The 10,036-nt window shown below is 58.3% G+C and overlaps 2 protein-coding genes across 3 annotated transcripts, besides 9 other annotated features; both read left to right on the forward strand.

The window, feature by feature from the left end:
• The first annotated feature begins 271 nt into the window (after positions 1-271).
• Positions 272-7,583, forward strand: LOC124903759 (keratin-associated protein 5-1-like). Of its 2 annotated transcripts, XM_047435031.1 has the most exons (4): positions 272-1,258; positions 1,845-3,753; positions 6,489-6,660; positions 7,464-7,583. In XM_047435031.1, exons 2-4 carry the CDS (start codon positions 2,714-2,716, stop codon positions 7,566-7,568), a joined length of 1,317 nt encoding a protein of 438 aa, XP_047290987.1. In that variant the 5' UTR covers positions 272-1,258; positions 1,845-2,713; the 3' UTR covers positions 7,569-7,583. The 2 variants fall into 2 exon arrangements, with proteins under 2 accessions (XP_047290987.1, XP_047290988.1); XM_047435032.1 differs by lacking the exon at positions 7,464-7,583 and having other exon boundaries at positions 6,440-6,660.
• Positions 672-1,173: an enhancer, noted in NCBI's record as "H3K4me1 hESC enhancer chr16:89978467-89978968 (GRCh37/hg19 assembly coordinates)". NCBI's record gives its function as "activates a minimal SCP1, AML or CMV promoter by ChIP-STARR-seq in primed H9 embryonic stem cells {active_cell/tissue: H9 hESC(primed)}" and the evidence as "EXISTENCE:reporter gene assay evidence [ECO:0000049][PMID:30033119]".
• Positions 1,174-1,673: an enhancer, noted in NCBI's record as "H3K4me1 hESC enhancer chr16:89978969-89979468 (GRCh37/hg19 assembly coordinates)". NCBI's record gives its function as "activates a minimal SCP1, AML or CMV promoter by ChIP-STARR-seq in naive H9 embryonic stem cells {active_cell/tissue: H9 hESC(naive)}" and the evidence as "EXISTENCE:reporter gene assay evidence [ECO:0000049][PMID:30033119]".
• Positions 6,244-7,129: an enhancer, noted in NCBI's record as "H3K27ac-H3K4me1 hESC enhancer chr16:89984039-89984924 (GRCh37/hg19 assembly coordinates)". NCBI's record gives its function as "activates a minimal SCP1, AML or CMV promoter by ChIP-STARR-seq in naive H9 embryonic stem cells {active_cell/tissue: H9 hESC(naive)}" and the evidence as "EXISTENCE:reporter gene assay evidence [ECO:0000049][PMID:30033119]".
• Positions 7,130-8,013: an enhancer, noted in NCBI's record as "H3K27ac-H3K4me1 hESC enhancer chr16:89984925-89985808 (GRCh37/hg19 assembly coordinates)". NCBI's record gives its function as "activates a minimal SCP1, AML or CMV promoter by ChIP-STARR-seq in naive H9 embryonic stem cells {active_cell/tissue: H9 hESC(naive)}" and the evidence as "EXISTENCE:reporter gene assay evidence [ECO:0000049][PMID:30033119]".
• Positions 7,130-8,897: a biological region, named in NCBI's record as "H3K27ac-H3K4me1 hESC enhancers GRCh37_chr16:89984925-89985808 and GRCh37_chr16:89985809-89986692".
• Positions 7,366-7,415: an enhancer, noted in NCBI's record as "active region_11427". NCBI's record gives its function as "activates an Ori minimal core promoter by ATAC-STARR-seq in GM12878 lymphoblastoid cells {active_cell/tissue: GM12878}" and the evidence as "EXISTENCE:reporter gene assay evidence [ECO:0000049][PMID:35858748]".
• Positions 7,475-9,585, forward strand: MC1R (melanocortin 1 receptor). Its single transcript, NM_002386.4, has one exon. The coding sequence runs from the start codon at positions 7,872-7,874 to the stop codon at positions 8,823-8,825; it is 954 nt and encodes a 317-aa protein (NP_002377.4). The 5' UTR covers positions 7,475-7,871; the 3' UTR covers positions 8,826-9,585.
• Positions 7,915-8,196: a silencer, noted in NCBI's record as "fragment chr16:89985710-89985991 (GRCh37/hg19 assembly coordinates)". NCBI's record gives its function as "represses an EF-1alpha promoter that drives an FKBP-Casp9 reporter gene in an ReSE screen in HepG2 liver carcinoma cells {active_cell/tissue: HepG2}" and the evidence as "EXISTENCE:reporter gene assay evidence [ECO:0000049][PMID:32094911]".
• Positions 8,014-8,897: an enhancer, noted in NCBI's record as "H3K27ac-H3K4me1 hESC enhancer chr16:89985809-89986692 (GRCh37/hg19 assembly coordinates)". NCBI's record gives its function as "activates a minimal SCP1, AML or CMV promoter by ChIP-STARR-seq in primed H9 embryonic stem cells {active_cell/tissue: H9 hESC(primed)}" and the evidence as "EXISTENCE:reporter gene assay evidence [ECO:0000049][PMID:30033119]".
• Positions 8,898-9,781: an enhancer, noted in NCBI's record as "H3K4me1 hESC enhancer chr16:89986693-89987576 (GRCh37/hg19 assembly coordinates)". NCBI's record gives its function as "activates a minimal SCP1, AML or CMV promoter by ChIP-STARR-seq in primed H9 embryonic stem cells {active_cell/tissue: H9 hESC(primed)}" and the evidence as "EXISTENCE:reporter gene assay evidence [ECO:0000049][PMID:30033119]".

A 10,036-nucleotide genomic window follows, 5' to 3' on the forward strand; every position in this document is an offset into this window, starting at 1 on the left:
CGTCCGCACCTTCTCCTTTCGCAGGCACTGAGCGCCGTCCCATGCCCTCGGATTCGAATCACACTCAGTCCATTCTCCTCCCAGTGGCTTGTGGGTGAGGTGGGGCCCAGACCCCATGCTTCCTGTGCTCCCAGGATCTGGGCACGGGTGGAGAAGGGGCCCCACGGGGTCTTCAGTGCAGGTCCCTGCTGAATGCCAAGGCCCTGGGTGCACGTCCTCCTTGAACTTGCTGTGGAGTTCGTCAACAGAGCTGCGTGCCTTGTTGGTAGAGGGTCTCAGGGCAGGGCTGGAGCAGAGAGGCCCCTATGTGGCAGCCGGCCTTCAGTCTTGTTCCTCCAAGCAAGTGGGGTGGAGATGTTGGGGTCCTTTGGCTGGATGCCACTATCTGTTGAATCTGACAAAATAATTTTCTTTTTTTTTTTTGAGACAAGAGTCTCACTGTGTCGCGCAGGCTGGAGTGCAGTGGCGCAGTCTCGGCTCACTGCAAGCTCCGCCTCCCGGGTTCACGCCATTCTCCTGCCTCAGCCTCCCGAGTAGCTGGGGCTACAGGCACCCGCCACCACGCCTGGCTAATGTTTGTATTTTTAGTAGAGACGGGGTTCCACCATGTTGGCCAGGATGCTCTCAATCTCTTGACCTCATGATCCGCCCGCCTTGGCCCCCCACAGTGCTGGGGTTACAGCTGTGAGCCACCGCGCCTGGCTCTGCCAAAATAATTTTATTAGAGAACTTGAGGGCAGTGCCCAGAATTGAAGGCGAAGCCCCAGAAGCATGTTTTGCAGAGAAGTGCCCAGGGAAGCTCTGAGGGCCCATGTAGCAAAGATCAGGGGATAGTCGGTCTGAGGGTGAATGGGCCACTCGGACCAAGACCCCAGTCTTGGGGGAGGGCTTAGCTGGAGCAGGTCCTGGCACAGTTGACTGATGGTGCACAGAACCCGTGCATCCCACGGCCCCACGGTGCTGCAGCTGCAGGAGGGGCGGAGGCTGCAGCCAGACAGCATCAGAAGCCAGCGTGGTTCTGGAAGGATCGAGAACACCAAGGTGTTAGGGCTGCAGCAGGGGTCCTGTCCCCTGGCACCCCTCACCGCCCTAATCTTTTACCCTTAGGAGGCAGCAGACACGAGGGGCTGCCCGAGGCTCTAGGGCGGCCAGTGAGGCAGGAAACATGTTCCAGCCCCAGCTAGGTACTGGTCCGTGGACCCACCTCCCAGAAAGCCCATCACTGTGTAATCGTCTAACCTGGGGCTCGCCGAGGCCTGTGAGTTCATCCTTTTGGCAGTTCCTGGTGTCTCCTTACTCTGCTCAGCATTTCCTGGGCGGGAGCTTAGGGTGCAGGACCCTCCCCAGGACGACGAGGGCCCAGTGTCCATGACAAGAGTTGGCCCGAGGGCTGAGCCACGTGTGCCCATCTCAGACGTGGGCCTGAGGGTGCAGCCCTGGCCCTGTGCTGGCCATTTCTAGGAGCGGTGCCCTGAGGTCCCAGCTGTGATAGCCCCACGCTCTGCAGGAAGAGATCATGGGGGCGGGGAGTTGGTGCTGCGGCCTCGTTCCTCTCTGCAGTGAGTGAACGATGTTTGTGGTCAGCAGGAGCCTGTGGGGAGCACAGGCTGGTCCTCCTGGTGTCCCACCCACCCCTTTTTCCATGGGGGATCTGCACTCATCTCCAGGGAAGATGGTTGGGAGATAACCCCAGTCTGCTCTAGGTCCCCACCCTCCACAGCCAGGGTGGTCCGTGGTGAGCTTCAGCCATCGAGATGCGGGAGTCTGCTAGAGTCTTCAGGGTCTTTTCTCTGAAAATGACAGGCTAGCAAGGAGACCTGGGTCCCCTGCCTCTTCCATTCCAGATGCCTTGAGTCCACCCAAATAGGGGATGTGATGTTTGGAGCTGCAGCAGCCGCCCTACGGTTGGGAGTCAGAGAAGAGCCGGTGTTCCAGGGACAATGCAGCAGAGGCTGAGCCCAGGCCTGCTGTCCTGAGAGGTGGCTGGATCACTGACACTTTGGCAGTGGTGCTGGGGTTTATGTCATGACCTGCAGCTGAGCCTACTTCCAATGACCGTGAGATCTGAAAGACTGTTTTGAGGGCGTAGCCTCTGCCATGATTGTGGGGAATGCTGTCCTGTTTCCTCCCTTGGCCCTGCTCAGCCCAGCGAGAGGCTGAGGCGCACGTGGCTCCCCGGGTGCCCACAGGCAGCGTGGCTCACCAGCCGGGCCCTTTTCCACTGAGCCAGAACCCCCCAAAGCCTTCAATGCAGGCACCACGGTGAGCCCACGAGAAACCCTGCTTGCCACCTCCCACACCCCCACCCCCAAGTTCAAAGGAAATGGTCCCTGAACCAAGGGCTGAGATCAGCTGTGGGTCCAGCTGTCCTGGGGAGCTGTACTGGAGCCCACCACGGTGGGACTGTTGGTCCGGCGGTGACCCCCACCTCCATGTCTGTGGCCGCAGCTGGACAGGCCACTCCCTGGGCCACAGAGATGTTTTACCTCTCGCAGCCCTCGGGCACACATTGAGCAGATGTGTGTGTGTGTGCGTGTGTGGGTGGGTGCGCATTTGTGTGTGCCTGTGTGTGTGCGCATGTGGTGTGGGTGCACGTGTGTGCACGTGTGTGGGTAAACATTGTGTGTGCGCATACGTGTGTGGGTAAACATTTGTATGTGCACGCGTGTGTGGGTAAACGTGTGTGCGCACGTATGTATGTGTGTACATTTGTATGTGTGTACATTTGTATGCATGTGTGCCTGTGTGTGTGTGCCTGTGTGTGTGGGTGCACATTTGTGTGTGTGTGTGTGCCTGTGTGTGTGTGTGCACGTATGTATGTGTGCACACTTGTATGCATGTGTGCCTGTGTGTGTGGGTGCACATTTGTGTGTGTGTGCCTGTGTGTGTGGGTGCACATTTGTGTGTGTGGGTGCACATTTGTGTGTGTGTGCGCCTGTGTGGGTGCACATTTGTGTGTGTGTGTGCCTGTGTGTGTGCCTGTGTGTGTGGGTGCCTGTGTGTGTGGGGCACATTTGTGTGTGTGTGTGCCTGTGTGTGGGTGCACATTTGTGTGTGTGCCTCTGTGTGTGTGCCTGTGTGTGGGGGTGCACATTTGTGTGTGCGCCTGTGTGTGGGGGTGCACATTTGTGTGTGCGCCTGTGTGTGTGGGTGCACATTTGTGTGTGTGTGCGCCTGTGTGTGTGGGTGCCTGTGTGTGTGTGGGGCACATTTGTGTGTGTGTGTGTGCCTGTGTGTGGGTGCACATTTGTGTGTGTGCCTGTGTGTGTGTGCCTGTGTGTGGGGGTGCACATTTGTGTGTGTGTGTGCCTGTGTGTGGGGGTGCACATTTGTGTGTGTGTGTGCCTGTGTGTGTGGGTGCACATTTGTGTGTGTGTGTGCCTGTGTGTGTGGGTGCACATTTGTGTGTGTGTGCCTGTGTGTGTGGGTGCACATTTGTGTGTGTGTGTGCCTGTGTGTGTGGGTGCACATTTGTGTGTGTGCCTGTGTGTGGGTGCACATTTGTGTGTGTGTGCCTGTGTGTGTGTGCCTGTGTGTGTGGGTGCACATTTGTGTGTGTGTGTGCCTGTGTGTGTGGGTGCACATTTGTGTGTGTGTGTGTGCCTGTGTGTGTGTTGCAGGCCCTGGATGCCAGACACTGAATAAACGCAGGAAGACGTCTGTCTTCATTCTCCTCGTGGGTCGCTGGTCCAGAAACACCTGGATGGAAAGTGCTCTGCAGGAACGGTGCCTCTGCCTGTGGCGGGGACCCTGGTGAGCGGATGGGCCAGCCCCACGTGTCTTCCGGCCACTCAGCATGCAGTGTTTCCAGGGGCACTAAGAGACCAAAATCGAGATATGATTAGCTGTAGGATGTCATCTAATCACAGATCATCCCGAGGCTAATTTATCTCCCCCATGACCATAACACATCAAAAAGTTGACTTTTTGCAGCTCGGCTGTGCCTCATCTTCCCACGAAGCCCCGACAGGCACATCCAGTGAGGAACCACAGTGGGAGTCCTGTGGCAGGGTCACCCCACTTCCGATGCCCTCCAGCTGCATCTTGGCACGAAAAAGGCTGCCCAGTTCTCATGCCCTTTCAAGTCCCGGGCTGGGGGGTAGCAGTGGAGGCTGGGGTTAACCGCCGTCCGTCTCAAAGGCCTCATTGTGGAGCTGCAAACACGAACGTCCTTGAAATGTGAGGGGACAGTGCTCTGGGGCAGGGGCTGCTCACTGGTTCATGGCCAGAGGTGAGCGGGCTCTGGGTCTGGGTCTGTGAGGTGCTGTGGACGTCGGGGGTGCTCCTGGGGCAGGGACACAGCCACGGCCCTCACACCAGTGGAGCCGTCTTCCTTCCCGAGGCAGAGGCTTGGCCTTCTCACACCTTGGGACCCTTCTCTCCCCTGTGCTCATGCTGGAAGCACAGCGTGAGGGGGCAAAGGTCATGGGAGGCAAAAGGCTGGGCTGAGGCCGAGGCTCTGTGGCTGTGGCCGGATACCAGGTCCTGTGGTGGTGTGGGCAGGGCGCGCTCTCTCCTCTGAGCAGCCTGGGGCTGCGTGTGTGAACAGAAACAGGCCTGCCGATTTGAAGATGGTTTGACCAAGTCTCCCAAAGCTGAAGAGAGGTCCCTGCCCATGTCCCCCGGGTGGCAATCCACAGACGCACCTGTGTCCATCAGACGGTATCGTTGATAGGGAGTCTGAAGCCACCCAGACGTGGTCTGTTCACGCCGTGGACACCACGGTCTGAGGCAGACGGTTACAGCCACCGGCATAGGCGAATCTCAGCCAGAGAGAGTGAACTGGGACACCATTCACGTGATGGGCCAGATGGGCTGGCAGCGGCTCGCTGGAGCCGTCCGGGTGGGAACGCTGTGTCTGTTGGTCTGGTGCTGCTTATGTGGCTGGTTCAGGTCTGTCATCCGTCAACCTGCATATTTATCACTGGTGCATTTTCATGTATGTTGTACCTCAATTAAAACATTTTAGGGCCGGGCGCGGTGGCTCACGCCTGTAATCCCAGCACTGTGGGAGGCGGAGGCGGGAGGATCATGAGGTCAGGAGATCAAGACCGTCCTGGCCAACATGGTGAAACCCCATCTCTACTAAAAAAAATACAAAAATTTGCCGGGTGTGGCGGCACGCGCCTGTAGTTCCAGCTACTCAGGAGGCTGAGGTATGAGAATTACTTGAACCCAGTAGGCAGAGGCTACCGTGAGCCAAGATCATGCCACTGCACTCCAGCCTGGGTGACAGTGAGACTTCGTCTCAAAAAAAAAAAAAAAAAAATTAAAGCAGATGGGGTGTGGGGGCTCATCCCTGTAATCTCAGCATTTTGGGAGGCTGAGGCGGACCGATCACCTGAGGTCAGGAGTTCAAGACCAGCCTGGTCAACATGGTGAAACCTCATCTCTACAAAAAATACAAAAAATAGCCAGGTGTGGTAGTGGGTGCCGTAGTCCCAGCTAGTTGGGAGGCTGAGGCATAAGTATTGCTTGAATCCAGAAGGTGGAGGTTGCAGTGAGCCAAGAATGCACCACTACACTCCAGCCTGCGCGACAGAGTGAAACTGTCTCAAAATAAATAAATACATAAAAATTATATGTATATATATATATATATATATTTTTTTTTTTTTGAGACTGTATCTCTGTTTCCCAGGCTGGAGTGCAGTGGTGTGATCTCGGCTCACTGCAACCTCCGCCTCCTGGGTTCAAGCAATTCTGCCTCAGCCTCCCAAGTAGCTGGGATTATAGGCGTGCGCCACCACGCCTGGCTGATTTTTGTATTTTTAGTAGAGATGGAGTTTCACCATATTACCCAAGCTGGTCTTGAACTCCTGACCTCATGATCCGCCTGCCTCAGCCTCCCAAAGTGCTGAGATTATAGGGGTGAGCCACTGTGCCCGGCAATAATAATTTTTTTTTTTTTTGAGACAGAGTTTTGCTCTTGTTGCCCAGGCTGGAGTGCAATGGTGCAATCTCGGCTCACGGCAACCTCCGCCTCTCATGTTCAAGCTATTATCCTGACTCAGCTGGGATTACAGGCACCCACCACCACACCTGGCTGATTTTGGTATTTTTAGTAGAGACGGGGTTTCTCCATGTCGGCCAGGCTGGTCTCGAACTCCTGACCTCAGGTGATCCACCCGCCTTGGGCTCCCAAAGTGCTGGGATTACAGCCCTGAGCCACCATGGCTGACAATAATAAAAAATTTTAAAGCAAAACTAAAGATTTATAAATTGTAAAATGCGGTTGTAACAAGTATTTACTGTACCAGTAAATATGAAAAATATTAATGTCCTCACACACATGGAGGTGGCTTGTGAGTGGTGTGAGCATTTCATGGTCAGAGTTTGGCAGTTGGGCGAGAGACAGGATGGATTTTAACTCGAACATCGCAGACACAAAACTGAAAACCCTGATGCGGTGCCTGCACCGTTGCCTCCTTTCCTGCAGCTGTAAATGGGACGAGTAATTCCATCCCCCTCCCGCTTCCACCCTTCAGCACAGACGCAGTCTTCAGCAAGGAAGTGCTGGGAACGCCCTGGAGTGAACCCAGGAAGATGCCTGCAGTGGGTGCCAGGGCCCCTCTCCACCGTCCCTGCTGGGCTTCGGGGCCACGCCCGACTGCTGTGAACGGCCTGCGGAGCACCACGTGCGACGGCTGGAGGCGAGAGGTCTGCCTTTGATGTGGCTGTTGGTGCAGGGCCTGTGGTGCCTTCCGCAGCGGAAATGGCGCGCCGCCCGGGGAGGGCGGGAGCAGCGTCCCGGGTGCCCCTGTGAGGATGAGCGACGAGATGACTGGAGGGTCCCTGAAGACCTCACTAGGGTGCCCCCAGCCGGTCCGCTCCCAGGAAGCGACACCCCCACAGCCCCAGGGCTGCAGCTGAGGGGGTCGCCACTCTGGCTGGGCGAGGCTGGGCCCTTGGGGGCAGGCGCCAGAGTGGCCTCAGGCTCTACAAGATGCCTGAAAACACCAACCTCTCCAGGGCTCACTAGCATTGGACGCTTTCACGCTCTGCCCTGGCCGGAAGCCCCCTCACCCCGCGCGATGTGCAAACTCCTGCAGGGCTCACTCAGTTTCCAGAACTTTAATTATTGGAAAGTTCTCCCTGGTCCAGCCCCCAAATCTGCCGTGAACGTTGACAGCTGAGTTGCTGCTCCATGCGTGCTTTGGCTGAGAGCAGAGGGGACCCCTGTCCTCCCTGAGCTGCTGACGAGGGGAGGGGTGAAGGGTGGGGCCTCTGGAGAGGGCAGGTCCCGGGGAAGCTCCGGACTCCTAGAGGGGCGGCCAGGTGGGGGCCCTGGTGACCAGGACAGACTGTGGTGTTTTTTAACGTAAAGGAGATCCGCGGTGTGAGGGACCCCCTGGGTCCTGCACGCCGCCTGGTGGCAGGCCGGGCCATGGTGGGTGCTCACGCCCCCGGCATGTGGCCGCCCTCAGTGGGAGGGGCTCTGAGAACGACTTTTTAAAACGCAGAGAAAAGCTCCATTCTTCCCAGGACCTCAGCGCAGCCCTGGCCCAGGAAGGCAGGAGACAGAGGCCAGGACGGTCCAGAGGTGTCGAAATGTCCTGGGGACCTGAGCAGCAGCCACCAGGGAAGAGGCAGGGAGGGAGCTGAGGACCAGGCTTGGTTGTGAGAATCCCTGAGCCCAGGCGGTAGATGCCAGGAGGTGTCTGGACTGGCTGGGCCATGCCTGGGCTGACCTGTCCAGCCAGGGAGAGGGTGTGAGGGCAGATCTGGGGGTGCCCAGATGGAAGGAGGCAGGCATGGGGGACACCCAAGGCCCCCTGGCAGCACCATGAACTAAGCAGGACACCTGGAGGGGAAGAACTGTGGGGACCTGGAGGCCTCCAACGACTCCTTCCTGCTTCCTGGACAGGACTATGGCTGTGCAGGGATCCCAGAGAAGACTTCTGGGCTCCCTCAACTCCACCCCCACAGCCATCCCCCAGCTGGGGCTGGCTGCCAACCAGACAGGAGCCCGGTGCCTGGAGGTGTCCATCTCTGACGGGCTCTTCCTCAGCCTGGGGCTGGTGAGCTTGGTGGAGAACGCGCTGGTGGTGGCCACCATCGCCAAGAACCGGAACCTGCACTCACCCATGTACTGCTTCATCTGCTGCCTGGCCTTGTCGGACCTGCTGGTGAGCGGGAGCAACGTGCTGGAGACGGCCGTCATCCTCCTGCTGGAGGCCGGTGCACTGGTGGCCCGGGCTGCGGTGCTGCAGCAGCTGGACAATGTCATTGACGTGATCACCTGCAGCTCCATGCTGTCCAGCCTCTGCTTCCTGGGCGCCATCGCCGTGGACCGCTACATCTCCATCTTCTACGCACTGCGCTACCACAGCATCGTGACCCTGCCGCGGGCGCGGCGAGCCGTTGCGGCCATCTGGGTGGCCAGTGTCGTCTTCAGCACGCTCTTCATCGCCTACTACGACCACGTGGCCGTCCTGCTGTGCCTCGTGGTCTTCTTCCTGGCTATGCTGGTGCTCATGGCCGTGCTGTACGTCCACATGCTGGCCCGGGCCTGCCAGCACGCCCAGGGCATCGCCCGGCTCCACAAGAGGCAGCGCCCGGTCCACCAGGGCTTTGGCCTTAAAGGCGCTGTCACCCTCACCATCCTGCTGGGCATTTTCTTCCTCTGCTGGGGCCCCTTCTTCCTGCATCTCACACTCATCGTCCTCTGCCCCGAGCACCCCACGTGCGGCTGCATCTTCAAGAACTTCAACCTCTTTCTCGCCCTCATCATCTGCAATGCCATCATCGACCCCCTCATCTACGCCTTCCACAGCCAGGAGCTCCGCAGGACGCTCAAGGAGGTGCTGACATGCTCCTGGTGAGCGCGGTGCACGCGGCTTTAAGTGTGCTGGGCAGAGGGAGGTGGTGATATTGTGTGGTCTGGTTCCTGTGTGACCCTGGGCAGTTCCTTACCTCCCTGGTCCCCGTTTGTCAAAGAGGATGGACTAAATGATCTCTGAAAGTGTTGAAGCGCGGACCCTTCTGGGTCCAGGGAGGGGTCCCTGCAAAACTCCAGGCAGGACTTCTCACCAGCAGTCGTGGGGAACGGAGGAGGACATGGGGAGGTTGTGGGGCCTCAGGCTCCGGGCACCAGGGGCCAACCTCAGGCTCCTAAAGAGACATTTTCCGCCCACTCCTGGGACACTCCGTCTGCTCCAATGACTGAGCAGCATCCACCCCACCCCATCTTTGCTGCCAGCTCTCAGGACCGTGCCCTCGTCAGCTGGGATGTGAAGTCTCTGGGTGGAAGTGTGTGCCAAGAGCTACTCCCACAGCAGCCCCAGGAGAAGGGGCTTTGTGACCAGAAAGCTTCATCCACAGCCTTGCAGCGGCTCCTGCAAAAGGAGGTGAAATCCCTGCCTCAGGCCAAGGGACCAGGTTTGCAGGAGCCCCCCTAGTGGTATGGGGCTGAGCCCTCCTGAGGGCCGGTTCTAAGGCTCAGACTGGGCACTGGGGCCTCAGCCTGCTTTCCTGCAGCAGTCGCCCAAGCAGACAGCCCTGGCAAATGCCTGACTCAGTGACCAGTGCCTGTGAGCATGGGGCCAGGAAAGTCTGGTAATAAATGTGACTCAGCATCACCCACCTTAGCCCCTTCCAGAAAGTGCTTGAAGTTTGCGGGTGGAGGGATGGGGGAGGGGAAGGTGGGCAGGGGTGAGAGTCGAGAGGGAAGAAAGGAGTCCCGGAAAACGTGGCTGCCTCCCCAGGTGAGGAAGCCACAGCCCCAGAGGCCCCAAATGCCTGGGGAGTGTGGAGGTCCCAACCAGGCTTGCGCTGACCCTGCTTCTCGGTTTTCTCTCCGTGCTGACAAACCCCAGCCTAGAGGAAGGACGAGCAGGTGCAGCAGGGCCCCAGTCCCCTCCACTCTTGACGCTGTCCTAGCTGCAGAAGAGGCGGGTTCCCAGCCTTCCCTGTGACCACATGTGACCTCAGCCGGGACACATCCCTTTGCTGGCCCTGGCCCTGAGTCCCTCCAGCCATGATGAGCCGTGAATGGGACCATCCCTGTCCACTCTGAGATGCCTGGAAGGGGGCT

This window comes from Homo sapiens, chromosome 16 (assembly GCF_000001405.40).
Source record: "Homo sapiens chromosome 16, GRCh38.p14 Primary Assembly".
Lineage (NCBI taxonomy): Eukaryota > Metazoa > Chordata > Mammalia > Primates > Hominidae > Homo > Homo sapiens.